The following is a 20,259-nucleotide window of genomic DNA, read 5'->3' as shown; positions in this document are numbered from 1 at the left end:
TTACCTGGAGCTATAAGAATGGCTAAAAAGAAGTAGCCCCATCTGAGGAGAGCCTTCTATGGTCACTTCAGCCTGGAATTCATTCCCTTTCTCTCAACACTTAACAGCGTTTTGATTATTTATTGGTAAATAATCTGCTAAACTCTGGAATCTCTGAGGTAGCCCATGGAACATACTGGACACAGAGAATCTGGATTTCCCAAGGCATCAGTGTGCTTTGGGGCCATACCTAGAAGCTACGCACCTCAAATTCTGTGGTTTATAAAGTTCAATAAATTGTCTCTACCTATCTGAGATAGAGGAATGGACTAAATGTGAGGTAGACTTCCAAGGGACAGGACCATATAAGTAGCAGATTTATTTTATTCAGAAAGGGCAGCCCCTCATATATATTAGAAAAATTAAATCACTCATTTCTCATATTCCAAATACTACCACAAATGAAAGCTGGCCTGGGACTCTCCCTGCCCCAGTCTTCACTGAGACCCTAAGGTGATAGATATGATGCACAAAGGGGTGGTAGATGGACCCCCCCTCTCCTGTGCTTATAAAGACTGATAAAAAGAATGATCTCAGAAACTGTTTCCGAACTCTTTGACCACTCAACCAGATGCAGCAGATAAAAGAGATTACAGAGGAAAGAGGATTTTTTTCAAGAAGAGTGGGGAGGATTTTTTTTTTGAGAGAGTTTCCAGTGTTGTCATTTCATCTTCCCTTCCTGTGGGTGAGTGGAAGGGGGTGTTCATACTCACATAAACCAAGTGAGCAGAGTTTCAGGAAACTACTTAACACGAGCTGGGTCCCTGACTAATGCCTGACTCTTGGGATGGTGAATTTGGGTCTGCCTGCAGCCTCAGGCGTCCGAGGGCCCTTTGTGATCGCAGGAATGCCAGCACCTCTCATGTGATCTGGAGAAGGCTGGCTGGCTGCCTGCATTGGTGGTGGAAGGTAGTGGCGGAGAGACTGGCCTGCACTTTCTGAGTTGGCAAGACAAGAGATGCAAGCGTGTCTCCCATGAATCACGTGAGGGAGGTGTGGAAGAGAAGACCAGTGTGGCATTGCATTGGGTTCTGTCCAATATGATCTCCTGGAGCAATGACACACTCAGCACCCACAAGGTACAGGTGTCCCCCAAGGGGCCAATAAAGTCCTTTGGGAAGCAGACTAGGTATTAAAAGTAGAAGTGCTACTTTAAGAAACATGTGACAGTATAAATGTCTAATTTAATTATTAATAAATTTATGGATCAGTCTACTTTTACTATGTTTGAGTCAATTTCAAATAATTTCTGTTTTTCCTAATGTGACAATTATATAATTCCATTAATGTGCTGCAAAATAGAAGTAACCTGAAATACAGCAGTTTAGCAATTTTCTTCTCAAGAAGTTTCAGTGACTACCTGGAATACAGTTTCATCCACCAGAGTTAAGAGAACTTCAGGAGGAAAAGCTCTAGCAAGGAATCTCTTAATAGGATAAATATGTGCCCACAAGGAAAGAATGAGTTTAACAGTACACCAGATCCAGAGAGCATGGTACTTCTCAGCAAAGTGGCATTTTTCTATCCCCTTACCTCTCCCCACTCTCTGTCACTCCTACCTTCAACCCCGGGGTAGGAGAAAAGCCACAGGTGGAGGGTGGGGGAAGCTATCTGTGTAAGCTGAGACAGAGTCCAATAGAAAGACAAATGCTTTCCACACACTCACTGTTGCAGGGTCTCAGCCTTAAGCAGGTACAAGCTAGAGTTGAGAGGCAACTTAAAGGTAAGTCAGGCTTTGGAGTTCTGATGTGATTGGGTCTTTTAATTATTTTGTGACTTGGTTCTGTGACTTAATGAACTGAAGTGACCCAGTGACTCTTTATTATTAGACAGTGACCAGAATTGTTGCAAGTAGCCCGAGTTTTCATTCAAAGCAGAAAAAGTGAAATAAAGTTGAATGGAAACTGCCACTCTATCTCAACTTACCAGTTATTCTACCAACAGCAGTACCATTGACAAAGATATCCATATTAATGAGGATGTTAGGGCCTAAGACAGCAAGTCACGGTCTGACAGAAGAAGGAAAAGAAGACACAAGAATAAAAATGAAAGCACTGACCAAGCCACAAATGGCTCATGAGAAAATGTATAAAGTCCTTCAGGAGGCAGACTTGGTGTTAAAATGAGAATTGCTACTTTAAGAAACATGTGAAAGTATAAATGTCTAATTTAATTATTAATACATTTATGGATCAGTCTACTTTTACTATGTTTGAGTCATTTTCAAATAATTTGTTTTTCCTGATGTGACAATTATATAATTCCATTAAAGTGTTGCAAAATAGAAGTAACTTGAAATACAGCAGTTTAGCAATTTTATTAGTGCCAGTCGGGTACTATTCAATAGTCAACCTGCCAGATCCAAGTGACAATAAGCACGTAAAGATGATGACTTACATGTGTATCCAGTCATCCTAACTCCATTATACGCTCTGTAAGACAAAGAACCATGTTTTATCCTTTGGCACTTAATAAATATTTGTCAAATAAATGAATGATTAAGTAAATGAATGAATAAGATATGCAGCCAATTATGCATATCATTTTGATTCCCATTCTTTAACAAATAGAATTCTACTTGTACCTAAATTACCAAATAATTGCCTTATTTTACTACCTGGCTAGTAGAACACTAGCTATAGAAATCCTCTTACTTGATATTGATCTATTTGCCAGTTGTCAATTTTGTTATATTACTCCATCTGTATTAGTTAATGCCATTGAAATAAATGCAAGTCACAGAGCCAGATGAAATGAAAAGTGGGTAAATTGAGTAGCAATATATGTTACCTAATTATTACACTAAGAGTAAAAAAAAAGTACTGTAAAAACTGTTTTTATAGCTTTAAAGACTATAGATAAATATTTTTTACTTTGTAATTTACATTCGTCACCTATAACAGAGGTGATAAGAAATGTAGGAAAATAATTCATTTTTCAAGTGGCAAAGTCATCTTCCTAGTCCCAGGAAACAAATAGGAGGTCGGTTTTCCTATTCTGTGGACTAACTTGCCTCGTGGTGGGCATGGGAACCAGGGAACCAGTTGCCTCCTATCCAAACAAACCGTGTATCAGAAGACTCAGTGAATAAGTTAGATTTTCAGAGAGGAATAATGTTGAGGTGCTATTTTGCTTTCCCTAGTTGGATCTGCCCTACATGGATAAGCCAGCATCTCTCTTTTTCCAGAACAGGCCTTTCCAGGAACAAAATATTAACGGGTGAAAACCTGCCAAATATAATTGGTAAGAATCATTTTAGTCTCAGATAACTGTTTTTTTTTCTCTAATCTTTCTCAGTTGTAGCAATATGATTTCGTCAAAAACAACATTGGTCAGATACTCTAAGAATCCTTTTGGGTCCCCATTAGTGACTCTTTCCACCAAGCTTGACCACAGCAAACTGCAACCGTACTTTCAACATTCCTTTGAGAAAGCAACCCAACATTCAACTACCACAGATTTATGGTATGAAAAATGGCATTTCTAAGGACCTTTGAAAAACGTTAAAAATGAACATGGCTTTACTGTTATTTTCCACAGCAGGAATCTAAATTTATAACTACTACTTCTAATCAATTTGGGAACTGCTCATAGAGCTAGAGAAAAAATAAGTTCACATGCCGCATTCTTCAGTTATCATTATATATTACAACTGACTTTCCACATCACATTGAATAGTTGCCACTGTAAATGTGTAATTTTCCACATGCTTTCGTTTTAAATTTTCAAAGGATCCTATTACCATCCTATGCCTAGGAACTACCACATTTGTGTCCAGGGTGGAGAGCTGTTTATCTTCTTCAAAGCAATTTTTGTTGCTACGTTGTGCAAGTGTAGATGGTTTTCTGATTGGTTATTGAAAGCCAAGAAATACCTTTTAAGCAATTTGTTTCTTAGAACATTTTGTCCACCTCATCACAGTGACGTGTCTATGAATGCTCTGTTTGCAATACTAAGAAAGATAATTTATCTTCTAGTACCTTCATCCATTGCAACCCTTTATTGCCAAAGTGGGTCAAACATTTGGCACTTGAAATGTTTAGCACTTAAAATTCCAGATAGACTAGTGATAACATGACTTAAACACAGACAGTCTTTTGAAAAAAAATTGAAAGAAAAAACTTTAAAGTTTCAGCAACACTTCATAGACATGAAATTGATCCCCAACCCAAACAACTCTATGCTCCATTATCATAGAGTAAATTTCAGAGCTATTTAGGTAGAACATAAAGTTCAGAGAGTCATGTGACCAAAAACTCCAAGAGCAAGTAAATGCATGAGAGGTCAAAGGGCATGGAGCTGAAAGAAACATCTGGATTCCATCTTTTGAACTTTTAATGGAAAAACTGATCACTTGGTGCACATCTGGGGGTTTCGACAAGAAGAAAAGGTGGGGTTTTATGTGGGGGCTTGCTGTAGTTTATCATTCTTCCCTTGTGTTGCATATTAATCTATCATGTTAGTTATAATGCTGGTTATAATATTTGGGATATCTTAGAACATTACTGAAATTATGTTGTTTGATTATCTCTTCCACAGAGTAAGATTTTGCTTTTTTTAGTTTCTTTACTTCAAGTTTTGCTCTAACAGGAGCATCCCAGAAAAAAAGTTAGGGAACTCACTCATCTGTGAAGACTGTACTTTCCCTGGGGAAGCTGTTCTTATCCTTCAGCAAGAAGAACCATTTCTTTTTTTTCTTTTTCTTTTTTTCGAGACAGAGTTTCTCTCTGTTGCCCAGGCTAGAGTGCAGTGGCAGTGATCTCGGCTCACTGCAAGCTCCCCTTCCCGGGTTCACGCCATTCTCCTGTCTCAGCCTCCCGAGTAGCTGGGACTGCAGGCGCCCGCCACATGCCCGGCTAATTTTTTGTATTTTTAGTAGAGATGGGGTTTCACCGTGTTAGCCAGGATGGTCTTGATCTCGGGACCTCGTGATCCGCCCTCCTCGGCCTCCCAAAGTGCTGGGATTACAGGCGTGAGCCACCGCGCCAGGCCAGGAAGAACCATTTCAGAAAACCCAGGGAAGTGGCCTGTAGCATCCAGCCAAGGTAGTTCACTTCCTACACCCCAGATTAACTCTCTAAGACATCTACATATAAAAAAAGTCTCAGAAAAATCTCAAAGAGCCTTTAAAGCAAGTGACCTGGCTTTTACCACATTGTTCCTGGGTGAAAAATGTGTCTCAAGCACAAATAAAAATAACACAGATCTCTTTGCTGGAGAGTTGCAGGGATTTACTCCCTGTCTATTACTAACTGGGATACCATGAGCAAGTCACTTAAATTCTTTAGACCCTAGCTTTCTCATTTGTAACATGATGGTCCTGGACTACTTGTTTCAGACTAGTTTGTTTTCAGCAGTGATATTTTATATGCATTGATCATTGTCCTGGATCTGGCACTAAAAATAGCTTTTAAAATTTCTGAGTGTTTAAGGATGTATTTTTCAATTTCTGCAGCACTATCCCATGCCTTATTTCCCTTGATCTTGTGGGCAGATGTGGCAACTATTATTCTCCCCATTTTGAAAGGAGACCACCAAGGCTTACAGAGAGGTGAGGTACCTCATTAGCACCCATCTACTGGCCACAGAAAGGTGATACATTTCCTTCCAGCGCAGCACTCTTTCCAGGATGCAGGGTGACTTTCATTTCCTGTGATTAACTTTATGAAAATGAAATTCCTCATCAGCAAGATCCGTGCCACAGAAAAGCTTATCAACTGATAGATGTTAACCAAGGAAGTGCTCCCAGAATTCTGAGCAAAGACATTGGGGCAACTGCTATTTTTTGAGAAGGAAATAGACAAATACACAAGAGAAATAATCGAGCTGTAATAGGACACCTTTTTAAACTGGAAAAGAGCCTAGTTTTCAGATGTAAAAAAAAGGTTCACCATTAACCAGTCAAATTTAATGAAACTATGAGCATCTGAACATAATGTGCCTTTTTAAAAAAAATTTTAAAAGTAAAGAAAGATCTTATACTTACAGGTATTAAAACAAGGGACTGTAAAACATAGGGATTAAGAATTCAGGGTTTGGGATCAGAAATGTAGCTTTGCCATTTACTCACTGTGAAACCATCAAGTTTAAAAAGACACTAATTGGTATTCTTAATAAGACTTGTGAGGATGTTGCTTTTATATCTCAAGAGCAGGCAATCATGCAAAAGGAAAATTTTACTACCTAGAATGTTTCATTGGAGATGAAAATTATGATTCATAAATTTAAAACACATAGGATTGTGTGATCAACACATTAAATACTACCGAAAGCTGAGTAAGAGAATTAGAAGGTAAGAGGGGGAACTCTTCCCAAAATCAGAGAAAACATGAGTATATTCACATGATGAAATAAAAGATACGTGACTGAGGGCAGATATAAGAACTCCCTAAGGATTCTACAAGAGGTGAAATAGTAAATGGAGGAAAAGCAATAGACAGTGTATTAATAGACAACTTTCTGGATTTAGAAAAAAATAAAAAAATAATTTCAACAAGATGCATCAAATATTAGGTAAAATTAATGAAAAGTAATCCCCCAGTTAGCAATTGCTGAGCAAAACTGTTGATTTTTGAAGATAAAACATCCCATTACTGTTCTGTTATCTTCAAAGAAAAGATTATATAGATGATAGATAGATAGATAATGCTCACCCATATGTGTATATAAATATATGAACTGTAATAAACATGTAAATATCACACACATATGTATATAAAATTATCATCAGATTTTCCCTTTGAAATACTAAATGCCCAAAGATAATTGAATTATATCTATTTACAGGAAAGACTATAACCTAGAAATTCTAAATCCAGACAATCATTTATGTGTGTGCAATACTAACAGAAACATGTAGGAAAACAGATATTCCAACCATATATCCAAATGTAAAAACATTACTTAATGATTAGCTTAAACTCACTGGTGAAAGTATAAAGTATCTGGAAAGGAAAATGTGAAAAAAAACAGTAATGAGTCTTTAAGATAAATAATGTTTAAATAAATGTTATTATGGTTATAAGCCAATATAAATGTCAAAATAATTCTTTATAAAGAATACACATCATATAAAAAATGAACAACCATTTAGATCTAAGATTATTTAAAAAGAAAACTGGTAAATTAGGCAGGAAATTAAAGAATATAAAAGCAATATATTTTTAGATATCTCAAAAGAAAGCTCGATATCTACCTTTCATTTTTGACAGGTGAAAACATGGAGCTAAGTCAGACTTTAAATATGTAGAATTTAAATTACTATATGTAAATCATTAATAGCATAAAAAGAATATATAGATTTCAGATCTCTAGAGAAAACTTAAGGGACAAACAAGCAATAGTAAAAGACATTTAAAAAAATAGAAGAAGACAGGATAATAAAATAGCATACAATGAAATAGTGGATGATATTACTTCTACTCTTTTACTCAACTACCATGACTACTACTATTTTTACCATTATCATATAATGGCTAATACTTATTGAGTATCATGTGTGAAGGTCTTACCTAAACTCATTGAACTGCTTATAGATATTGAGAAATTTGCCCAAGATCACATAGCAAATAAGTATTAGAATCAGGATCCAAGACATAGTGTAACCTCAGAGCCTAGTTCTCAATGCAGTAAACATGCCCAAAACAAATGATAATAAAAGTTTTAAAGTACGTGATGCAAACTAAAAGAATACAGAGGTGGAAACACCAATGTAAAATAAAGTTGCGTTTGAGAAAAAGCATATTAAATGGCACACAATTTTATACTGATAGAACATATAATGTTTTAAAAATTAAATATTTTTGACACAAGTGAAATTTCAATGATGGTATTAATATACTTACATAAATAACAGAAATCCAAGTTCAACCAGAGAAAATCAAAAGTGACACTGAAATTTTAATATACTTTTCTCAATTTTTCACAAAACAAGTACTCGGAATAAAATAATAAACTGACTTGAATGATCTCATCACTATTTTTATACCTTTGAATCTTTTAGTTATCAAGTGCCAAGGGTACATTTACAAAAAAAAAAATCACATTCTAGTCACAAAGAAAATCTCAAGAAGTTCTTCAAAGTAATAATTATTTATGCTTTGTTTTTTAATACCATGAAATAAAACTAGAAATTAATTGCAAATCACAATTTGAGGCACATTATTATTCTCATAAGCAGAAGAAAAACTAAAGCATCTCATGGTTTGAAAGAGTTCGTGATTCATTTACCTTCAGGACATCTTTGATAAGAGTTGAAGAACTTCAGAAAATTCTGGCAACTGAACTTGACTCCAGAAAGCCCTGGAGATTTCTAAAAATACATATTCCTGGGCCTCAGCATAAATTTACTGAATCAGAATTGCTTTGTGTAAAGCCCAAGAAGCTCTACTTTTGCCAAGCTCCCAGCAGATTCTTCTGCAGTCCATTAGCACTAGCCATTGCACCAGGTATTTATTTGAGAATTACCAGTCCAGGTAACTTCTAAAGAACCAAATGGTAAATCTCAGAGGCACAGTGGCACAAAGAACTGGAGGGACTCAATAGATTGGAAATGCTCCAGGCTTTTTATTACAGTGTTTAAATACATGGCAACCATCCTAACAAATTCCTCAATGCAGAAAGAACTAAGTTACTGGAGCCTTTCAGTCGTCAAGTCTCCTTGGGAAGGAAAAGGCTCAGTTCAACCCAAGCTGAAGTCTTCCCTGAGGGAAGCTGAAGGATTGGCTTAAGATGAGGCTGGTTTAAATTCAGATTCACAAAGCAAGGGAAATGTAATGGTATGAACCCAAGGTAACTAAAACAGAGAGAGTGTGCATGAGACACCTGTGAGCTGACATATACCCGTTTTGCCCAGCACTAAAACTATCCTTATGGTAACTTGACTGCGAAATTGATGTCACTCTATAGTGTTTTCAAGGTCAAGCCTCAAATCTGGGCTGTGTGGCTACAGTGCCAGAGTGCTAAAAAATTAGCATTTTTATTCTAGAAAGAAAAAAATAAAGCAGGGGAAAAGTGGTGTGGCAATGGTGTTTTACATGAAAATTAAAATTCAGTAATTATCAAAGTATTTAATCTGGTAAAAATTAAAGACTGCCCATTTGAAACAATAAAAAGAAGTAGTGCATACAATTATAAAGATGAGAGTCCCCAAATTTGGAATGTTACTTTTAAACTTTAAGATGTAACTCTACTGAATGAAGAAAACCAATATGCTCTCTTCCCCCAAATCAAATAAATCAATATAAGGAGCCTCCAAAAGAAACTTCTTTCCTGTTCAATTTTAGGTAACTTCAATGATATAAGTTAAATATAAATAAAAAGTTCTATAAGAACTGACATGACAGAAGGCTAACAGAGTTTGGAGTTTCCCATAATGTGTGATCGTATGCCATCTCTTGAGAATCCACAAATGTGTGAAGAAAAACCTCTTCCCTCAAGAAATGTAATTCATTATACCAGGTAGATATGATTTCTGTTTTTCTCATGCACAGGGATATTTGTCAGCTTTACCTTAGGCATAGGCACCACTGGTAACACCTGTTATGCCCAGCGTGAAGGGTAGCCTAAAGCATCTTGCCAGGAGAGCTCAGGTACAGATGGTGGCATTAGAGCAGGAACTTGGGAAACCAGAGCTCAGCATGAAGACATTGCTTTTCCACCCTGGGGAGGTGGTCTGGGGAAACCAGATTTCAACAATACTTGGCTTCTCCCTATTACTAGAATATACTTGTTCTTACATGCCACTGTCACCCTTCTACTCACGGTGCCCTCCCTCATCTCCTTTCTTGACCCACTACTACTCATCCTTCCATGCTCTGTTCCAGTGTCCTTTCTCTGAGCTGTCTTCACTGCTTCCCTGGGCAGTCAGTACCCCACTCCTCTTAGCAGCATGGCACTTGGTATAGCATCTCCCATCACTCTGTGACTATTTAGGGTCTGTTCCCACTGCTGGACAGAGAACGACTGCATTGAATTCATTTGTATGTATTCCTAATCCCCAGTCAGGGCCACTGATTCCCCAGAGGAGAGTTTAGCAAGCTTCTTGGATAATGTGAGGAGTGAATTGCTACATGGATGCTACTAACCAAGGACTCTGGGGTAAGATAGGCAGTGACTATAATAAGAAATGTATGTAGGAGAAAGAGAAGACAAAATCTCCAGGGTGAGAGTTGGGCTGCTCATGTTGTTAGAATTCTGTAAGATTTTTTAAAACTGGAAATTCCTATGGGAAGATTTTATTTTTAAAGTACCTTGGCAGTGCCTACTATTAGAGTTTGTAGGTGCTTTAGTAATAACTGGTAGGAATTCTGGAAAAAGATTTCAGATACCTTCTAAAGAGAAATTCAGCAAATATTTATTGGACACACTTTGAGTGAACTTTAATACAAGAAAGATGTGGCGAGAGGTGTCTTAAAATGAAAGAAGGAAAAATTGAATAAGTTCTTTGACCTAGGAGAACTTCAAAGAGACCAATGATCACTTGTTACTCATCCATCCATTTATGAAATATTTACTGAGGACCCACTATCTATCTGCCAGGTACTGTTCTAAGAGTGTGGGTAGCCCCCATCCCAGCATCCTTCTGATGCCAGGTACACTGGTAGGGGGTGATTGGTTTAAGTGTCTTGTTCTGAGACACGTGATTCTAGGGAATACTTTAACCAACTTCCTTTTGCATTTTATAGTGAAATTAAATAATCAAGTCATTTTTTTTTCGAGATCACAGTTTGTAGAAGAGTTAGAACTAATATCTGTGCCTCCAGGTAGCAGTGTTTATTTTTTTCCAGTTGCCTCTTTTAGCTGACTCGATTTTTTTAATGATTCCATACAGCAGTCACCCACGGCTGCAGCAGAAACTGCAGACAAAAACCAAAGAAAGCAAAGAAGGAAGAAGTAAAATCAGATGTAGAGTTGCAGTGCCTCTCTTCTAAACGCCACATAAATGTGCATTTAGCTCATGTTTATTTTTACATACTTCACCAGAAAATGGCAACTGCAATGTCTCATTCCTGATGGTAGCTTCAGGCAAAGAGGAGGCATAAGGAGAGAAAGATGCACAATAAACAAGCAACAAGCCCTTTCTACACAATGCAGATTTCAAAACTTTCACCCTGGTTCTCAGCTACAACAGTCTCAAAGATTTGCAGCAAGCTCTAGGTGATTACTAATGGTTTTTCCTGAATTCCAAATGTGAGTTGGGATAAATTTATCTCCACTTAACTAAGAAAATACAGTTTTGTTCTCAAACCTAAAAGTATATTTTTTTGCACTATATGCATTAGAAAGTCCCTTGTGATGGAGAGTCTTTGTTTCCACCCCATTGAGTTGGTTTAATCACTTACTGATTTTATTTTATTAGACTATAAGAAATATTTTCTCCTCACTTAACAAAACTGAGGCATATGTGAAGAGAAGATGGATACACCTCGGCTGATTTCAGCTACCAGGCATCCCTCACAAATTTTCATTCTAGATTATTCCTTTGAACAGTCAAGACTTATAAGTGTTATTTGACGGCTTCCCTTGATGTCTCAAAGGCATGTCAAACTCAAAATGTGAAAGGCTACTCACACGGTTCATACTTCCACTTAAAAGATCCCAGAAGAATGCTTCCAGTTCAGTGAGTGAGCTACCAGCCTTCCATGTTTAGAAAACCAGGGGGCATTCTTAGTATCTCCACTAGTTCAACTCTCTTACTCAGTTCACCACTGATCCTACTGATTTTACCTCCCAGCTATCTCTTGCATCTATCCACTTCTGTATCCACTGTGATTGCCACCGTAACGCCTAGTGAGGTCTCATAACCATGAGACCAAGCCATTTATGTCCAAGCCACTCTTCCTACTGCAATAAAACAATCTTCTCAAAATGAAAATGGGATCATATTGTTCCTCTATGTAAATATTTTAATGACTACATTTTGTTTTTAATGGTAAAGAGGTACTCTCAGGGAGGTCTCGAAGATGACAGTCAGAACCATAACATGACCTTGGTCTGGATCCCTCCTGCCACAGTGCCTTTACACATGCTGGCTCCTCAGTCTGGAAAGCTAGCTCTTACACCCTCAATTCTTGTTGCCCTGTTAAATCCTTCCTCTCTTTTTACTTCTTAATTATCCCTTATTTAGGAGGAGTCTTCCTTGACTTCTATAGACTGAATAAAATATCCCTATAATAGACTTCAAACATTTAGAATACTTCTCCTTCACAGATATTTCTCCTTCACAGTTTTTACTACAATAGTAATAATGTCGTATTTTTGGTCTTATTTGAGTAATATTTCTTCTTTGCTATTCTCTAAGAGAAAGGCTCATATAAGTTTTTGACAGATTTTATATCACTAGGATCTAGCTTCATTTCTGACATAAAAGAGGCTTTCAATAAATATTGGTTTAATGGATGAATAAGTAAGTAAACAACATATCCAAAGTATGAGTAGTCAATAGGCACTATCAGCGAAGTCATTCAAAATGAGGCTAATTTTTCATGTTATGATCTGTGCGGATAGAAAGATACACATTGCAGGAGAAGTTGCCTACAAAGTCAGAACATCTGGCTTCACACTAGCGCTTCTTCTTGGTCACTTAGTGGCCTTGAGCAGGGGCCTGTAAGTGCCTGATATTAGTTTCTCATCCATAAAGCCAGGGAACAATCCATTCACTGGGGTAATATGAGAATTACATGACATATGTTTAAAAAGACCTTATGATCTGGAAACCCCACTCAATCTCGATTAAGAAGCCAGAGGACAGCAAAGGCCTGTAGGAAACTGTAGAGAAGTGGGTGAATACAGCCTTGATTCCTTCTTACAAAGGGCCAGTGAACTGTTCTCTAGAGTTTTATTGGAACACGGCCACTCGGTTTGATTTTTTTGTCTATGGCTGCTTTCATTCTACAACTGAGTTGAGTTGTTGTGACAAAGACCATATAGTCCACAAAACCTAAAATATTTACTATCTGGCCCTTTGCAGAATATATTTGCCAACCCCTTGCTCTAGAGTATTGTTATTGTTACTGATATGGTTTGGATTTGTGTCCTTGCCCAAATCTCATGTCAAATTATAATCCCCAGTGTTGGAGGAGGGGCCTGGTGAGAGGTGATTTGATTGTGGGGGCAGATTTCCCCCTTGCTGTTCTCATGATAGTGAGTTCTCATGAGACCTGGTTAGTTTCTGTATGCCTCACTTTGCAGAGGGGAAAAAAGTACATGCATCACAGATACATTGTGAGGATAAAATTAAATCATATATGCAAAATATTTAGTCCAGTTTCTGGCCCATAGCAAGCATTTCTTAACCATTACTATTACTATTATCCTATCCTTGTAGCTGTAAAAATTATAAAATATATCATTTTAAATAAAATTAATGTAAACCTTCCTTTTAAAATAAATAAATTACTTAGGTGCTGAGCTCTGAAATATCTCAAAGAAGTAGCATATCTTTTAAAAATCCCCAGCTACTTTTAAATAAGAAAATCCGAAGCAATCCAGTATATGCAAATAAAAGGTACAACAAATATATGAAAGGAGCACAAATGATTTCAGAAAAAAACCTCTACAATAACAATTTTACATTAAAGGATTTTTTTTTAAAAATCATGATTCCCTTCGCTTTTACAGCTATGAAGCTTGGACACAAATTTGTCTCCAACTTATAGAAAATTTCTGTGAACAAATTTGTCTTCTAGCCTTACAATTCATTTCTTTGCTCTAATTATCTATAAAACTTTATAGATTGGATTTATTGTATGCTACGTTTTCTTATAATATACCTCAAATCCTCTTTGGGTTGAGGCAGCAGATGAGTAAATTAGTTCATGTTGTTCTACAAATGCATGTGAGTGATTGAACCTGATAATATCACTTTCTCTACCCATCAAAAGCCTACCCAATGGATGGTAGTGATGGTAGTACAACATTTTGAGGGTATTTAATGTCACTGATTACACACTTAAAAATAGTTAAACTGGTAAATTTTATATTGCGTATATTTTACCACTATAAAAATGTCTACTCAGACTTCTGGCTTAATTAAATAATACTTTTGCTATAAAAACCCACCCAGATCCCATAAGTCTGAATTAATCAGCCTTTCCTGTATATGTTGGACCCTTGTTTGTTCTTCTGGTATAGATAGAGCTTCTCACATTGCAGTTATATCCTCTTATGTTTTATCCTCTTCTGGGCTATATGTTCCTTGAGGGCAGGTACACATCAGTCACCTCTGTATCTCTCTCACACTGCTGAGCACACACCAACTGCTTTGTAAATATTTGCTGAAGATGGGCAGAGAGGAATGGAAGAGGGTGGCAGGGGCTTTCAACATCTGCCCCAGTGTTATTGAGGTGCAGCAGAAACAAAAAGGTAAGGTGATTTCCATTAGACAGTGCTGTCCTCAGAAGATGCTCCAAACAACTGCCCCCCATTCAGTTTTGCTCTCATCTGAAAATTGACATATGTGGTCAACAAATAAGTACATTCAAAGCTCTTCAATAACAATCCACGCAGAAGATTTTAATCATTTATGGATCTCCATCAAAACACTGACAAAGACATGGGAGAAAATATCACCAAGCAGCACAGGCCAGAGCATGGCTATGGCAAAGTAGGTACCACAGGCTGTGGAAAGGGGATCCTTGCTGTACTCCAGCCACTTGGTGCAATTCTGGATGTAGGCCCACTGTTGCCAGAGTTTCTGACTTTTCTCTAAGCTGGAAATTGGCTCAAAATTTTAAAAACAATATTGCAGGCCAAACAAAACATGTCTTTGAGAAGTGTGTGACTTGATTCTAACCCTTCACATACGACCACAAATACATTCAGAGTATCTCTTGTACAAATTCCTGAAGATGTATTCTTTTGAATTCAAAGAATAATCAGTACCTAATGCAGAAGACTATTTTTAGAATTAAATGAGTTAACATGTAAAAGTGCCTATTAAAATATATGTTTCTGTTTAGATGCCCAATAAATATTCATTTCCTCTCTTCCTTTCCTCTTTCCTGCTTTTTTAATTGGGAGAAAGGGTTATTTGATTTAATAAGAAAACAGGTAAAAGGGAAAAGATGCACTATTTTACATAAAATATGCTTTTTTTAATATCAAACTCCATACCAACTAAGCCAATACATTCCACTTAGCCCTTCACCAGTTTAGATCTCTGCAGACTTGCTTCAACTCAGACAAGGCTGATTTGTAACTGGTGGTTGGATTTTTATATGACAAGATGTTTCCAAATAAGTTTAAAGATGCTTGAAAACATCCTTTTCTCTCCAATTATTTAAAGAGAAAAAATTCTCATATTTTATTTGTACTATCAAATTATCTATAGATAAAGTATTTGTTGGACAAAGTAAAGCTTTGATTCAGTTTTCTCTGAATTACTGTGAATTTCTCATCCAATTCTATGCAGTTTCAAGGTATTCTCTAAAGCAGCAAAAACCACACATAGTCCCAAGACCAATTATTTCCCAAATCATTAACAACTCTTTTGTAAGCTATCAATTGTAGTATTTGGGCAGCATTACCAAAAGGAGATACCATTAGAGTCAGAGTGTAAACTTCAAGTTTATTTCTGTTTTAGAGCTGGATAAATATAGACAAGTTATTTAAATCCTAAATAGCCCATTCCTCATCTGTGATAAGGGGCGGACTGTATTTCTTTCACAAGTTTATTGTGAAGGCCAAACGAAATAAAGTTTACAAAATTACCATATAAGCTGAATAATGTTAAACTAATACATACCTTGCTTTAAGTGGAAGAGACAGCTAGTTATTTAGGTAGGTGTCCTGAAATAGCTCTGTTGGTAGTAGTGTCTTGACATGTGGATGAAACTCATTCTGTTTGTGATTTCCATTGAGTAGCTGCTCCAAGTTACATAAGACTTCCTGCCCTACAACTTCATCCTTTATATCTGCAGCATGGACATAAACTAAAGTAGAAGGGGAAATTATTGTTATTATTACTGCCAACAACACAGCAATAACAAATATTTATTGAACATTTCCTATGTTTTAGCCACTAAGCTAAGCACTAGACACATATTGGTTCAAGCCACTAAGACTTAGAACAGCTCTATGTGGTAGATATTATAATCTTCAATTTACAAATGAAGAACCTGGGATTAGAAATGGGTGGTACCTTGCCTAGGGTCATTCACTAATACATGGTAGACACGAGATTCTAATTCTGGCAAAGCCAAACCAAGGCCACATCAATGGGACAGCAGCATGGTATAGTGTTCCCAGGAAGACACCTTTCCAGATAACTGAGATTAATGCTTCAACTGCCAACATTTTTGGGAGGAGGAGGGGCCCATATTTGTACACCATGTCTGAATATGGTCTTCGCAGTGAAGATAGCATCAAAATCTTTTTTGAAAACTTTTTCTTTTTTTTTGGAGGGGCCTTGGAGATTGTCTGGTCTAACCCTCTAAATCTTCAGATGCCATGACTGACACAAAGTCCCTTTGGCTATGATATAAATCAGCAATGCCCCAAAGGAGCAAAGTGATATGTAGGAACTTCTCTGCAGTAAATGACAACACATCACTATGGTCTTTTTTATTCTAAGTTTCTTTTGTTTATTTGTTTCCTGGTTTTCTTTCTTTCCTCTCATTTTCAAGTTGTCATGTGTCACTTGCTCTGTTCCTAAAGAATGTGCCATTCACACCTTATGTTGCACTACTTATAATTTGCTATGAGATAGGAAACCAGGTAACTCTTTAAGACTGGGTGTCAAATAAGAGTGAATGAATTCTGATCAAGGACCTAAGAAGAACTCTTAAAGAATGAAGTGCATATGCTTTTGCCAACAGAGGTGGCTTCCATTTTGGTTTCCCTGATAGTTTTCAGTGATATCTTGGATAATTCAGTTTGTCAGAGAAATAAATGCCATATAAGTGAAAAATTGAATACTTTTAGAAGTGCACATCTCAAAAGAAGACATAAGTCATGCTTCCAAATAAATCTATTTCCTCTTCCAGTTTCCCCATAGCAATTCTTAGAGTTAGCCAGCTCCACCTGCTCTCTTTACATTACTCTCTCCTGTCTTTTGTATAAGTATAGTCACATCATCCTTTACCCTTTTACTTGAGTTGTCATTTTCCAGCTGGAAAACAGCAAATTTGATCATTCATACAGAAACAGCGTCTGTTGCTAACCCCTCAAGCTGGTGTACTGGTTTCATTTCTTGCAGCCAAACATTCAGGAACATGTGTTTATATGTATATCTTTCCCTTTATATTAGTAATAAGTGGGTCATTAAGGACTATATAATGAGAGAATGAAGTTTTCTGGCCTGGTAAGTCCCCAAGCTTCATTACCAAATTCATCTTACATGTCAGCCATTAAATAGCTTGGCATTTTCCTCTCTCTTCCATGCAGTATCATTTAATTTCATCTAAATGGAGTTTTCTCTATGGCCATAAACATCATCATCTTCGTTGCCACCACCATCAAGAAGCATTTATTACCTGCTACAATGCATATGGTGCTATATTCGGTATGGTTCTACACAACTCCATCATCATGGCCCTCACCCATGGGAGTCCATGCAGCACAAGGGGACTACTCAAAATAGTGAGATTTGAGTTGAAGTCCAGATCCCCTGCCTCCCCCTCCCCCCGCACACATTGAACAGCTGGGTTAGCTGGAGCAGAGCATTTTCCTTTTCTGGGTCATGCCTTATCCGAAAATAAGACAATGAGTTACATTCTCTCTATGATTCTGCACACTGTAATGCAGATTCAGCTGCAGCCATTTTAAGAGGGGAGAAGATTGGTAGAGGAGCGAATTGGTCTGTAACTTTAAACAGCTGGCTATGCTCAGAGAGGTAATTAGCCACTGAGTCCCAGGTCAGAGTTGTCTATACAGAACTTTGATCATTTCCTTGACTTCAGTGTGGTTTCTCTATGTTCTCAACACTTTCTATCATTCTTATTCTACTATTTTTTTTCTGACCTTGGCTCCCTTTGCGTTTTCTCTAATTCCTGGCCTTCTTCACACCAGGTCCTCAATCTCTGTTGTCTTACTTTTCCCAGCCACACGCAGGGACTCTGTCCCAATTAGAAGACTAGCCTTAAATGGTTCTAAAAGGAAGCTCCAGAGGCCTCTGGGTCCCTACTCTGGAAACTATGTCTGATCATCTTGAAAGAGGGCTGGGACCGAGCCTGGTACATAGGTCATTCAGTTGAGTCACTAATCATTGCACTGAGGATTGAGGACTGAGGCTCATCACATAGAAAATGATCCTGGGCAAAGAAGTAGAGGAAATGGGAAAAGGAATCCCAAATGATTTTGAGAATAAAGAATAATAGAGAAAAATAGACAAGTCCAAATAGTGATTATAAAGACAGAAGTGGAAGCAAAAACCCAAAAAGCATGCCCACACTGGGCACACACAGGAACACAGGAGATGTGGGCAGCAGGAGAGAGAGAGAGCAAGGACTTAATGGATCCAGAAAGGAGTTCTGAGATTTATGTCCCAAAATGTACCTAGGGGCCAGGAGAAACATTTCATCCCATCCCTGCTTGTGTATAAATTAGGCTGAGTCAAAAGGCATAAAATCAGGTAGATAGTCCTGATGTATAAACCATAGCCGAATAGTAATAGTAACCAAATTATCCCCTTAATAATTGTAGTTGATTTACATTAGCTCTTCATGACTTTGTGCTAATTGCTTGCTATGCATTATTTTCTCACAGAAATTCCTCAACTACTTTTTTGTTGTTATTCTGGTAAAATATACATAACATACAATTTACCACTTGAACCAATTTTAAGCATACAGTTCAGTGGTATTAAGTACATCCACAATGTCATGCAGCCATCACCACTATCCATTTCTAAAACTTTATCATCATCCTAAACAGAAACTCTGTGCCCATTAAACAGTAACTTTCCATTTCTCCTTCCCTCCAATCTTTGCTAACCACTCTTCTACTTTCAGTTTCTATGAACCAACTACCTTTTAAGAGTAGCCATAAAGGTGGAGCTACATCATACTTAGTGAAGTTCTAAAGTCAACATGTAAAGCAGAAAACATAAACCATCCATATTCTTAACGAAAAGGCGTAGGGAAGAAAGGTATCATGTTAATGACAGATAAAACATTTCTCAAAAAGAAGGGCCCAGCCAGTTGATCTCCATCACTGGTCAGTGGATCCCCAGGTATAAATAGCAGCTTATGCATTTAGGATCCTATTGCACAAAAGTGTACACTGTATCTTTAAACAATAGAAGCACCCTAAGCTAGTTGAAATGCTTATATCACAAGAGGACCTCAGGAAATAAGACAAAATGAGGAAAAAGCAGATTCATATCTCCTGTCTCATGTTTACCAGGGAAAATACATATTGAGTTCAATGGCAGATGGAATCATTCTTGCAATTTAAATTATTGTTCTCTTCCTTCCTCTTTTAACAAACATATAGTGTTGAATTCTTTTATGCTGAGTGTGTAGGGTTTAATTCATTACTATTATTACCCTTTTTATATTGGTGAGGCATAAATAAGTTAAGAAATTTCCCCAAATTCACAAAGCTTCATGAATACTTAAATTTGTACCTTTAACCATTGCCCAATATTGCCAGATAAATGGTTATGTATTCAAGCAAATTAATTTTTTTTCAATATTCAATTTTTTATTTTATTTTTAAAATTAATCAGGGAGTCTATTGACCAAGAAAGCTTATAAGAGGCACTTTTGAGTGTTACTCTAAAATTTCACATCCGTTTTTTCAAACTACACAATATGTAAATCTCTGGACTCCAGGGGCCAATTGTAAATTGGTTTCAAATACCACAGAGCACATAAATCTTCCTCCTCCCTTCTTCATCTCCCGCACCTCATAATCTACTCACTCTTTGACCTCCCTACAAGAAGCATGACTGCCTTAAATTTAGAGTTTTCCTTTTCATTAAAAAATGCACACTTTAAACCCTAATCTTATTTCAGAGAGGGGGTTAATCAGCCTTCTTAGTGAGCTTGGTTACTGCCTCAGGTGAGAGGCAGCCCACAAGGAAGTGTACTGCCAGGCAAACACCACTGATTGGAAGTTGGAACTTAGAACATTCAGGAATGATTTAGGAATGCAGACCAATTTTACTTATTTGAACTAGCCAAGGGGAAGGTCAGGTTGAAACCATTAAAAAATCTAGATAAGAAAATATTTTGAAGAAATACTGTTTTACGACTCCCAAATACCCACAATAATTTG

General features: G+C 37.1%; 1 long non-coding RNA gene across 1 annotated transcript in view; it reads right to left on the bottom strand.

Moving 5' to 3' along the window:
• The window catches only part of LINC01799 (long intergenic non-protein coding RNA 1799), a 67,031-nt gene that overhangs the window by 10,208 nt on the left and 36,564 nt on the right, over positions 1–20,259 (bottom strand). Inside the window, exon 4 of the long non-coding RNA NR_110169.1 lies at positions 15,785–15,971. This is a non-coding gene — a long non-coding RNA (long intergenic non-protein coding RNA 1799). The remainder of the gene's footprint in view (positions 1–15,784; positions 15,972–20,259) is intronic.

Source organism: Homo sapiens, chromosome 2 (assembly GCF_000001405.40).
Source record: "Homo sapiens chromosome 2, GRCh38.p14 Primary Assembly".
In the NCBI taxonomy this organism is placed as follows: Eukaryota; Metazoa; Chordata; class Mammalia; order Primates; family Hominidae; genus Homo; species Homo sapiens.
This window is presented reverse-complemented; position numbering and strand designations above follow the sequence as displayed.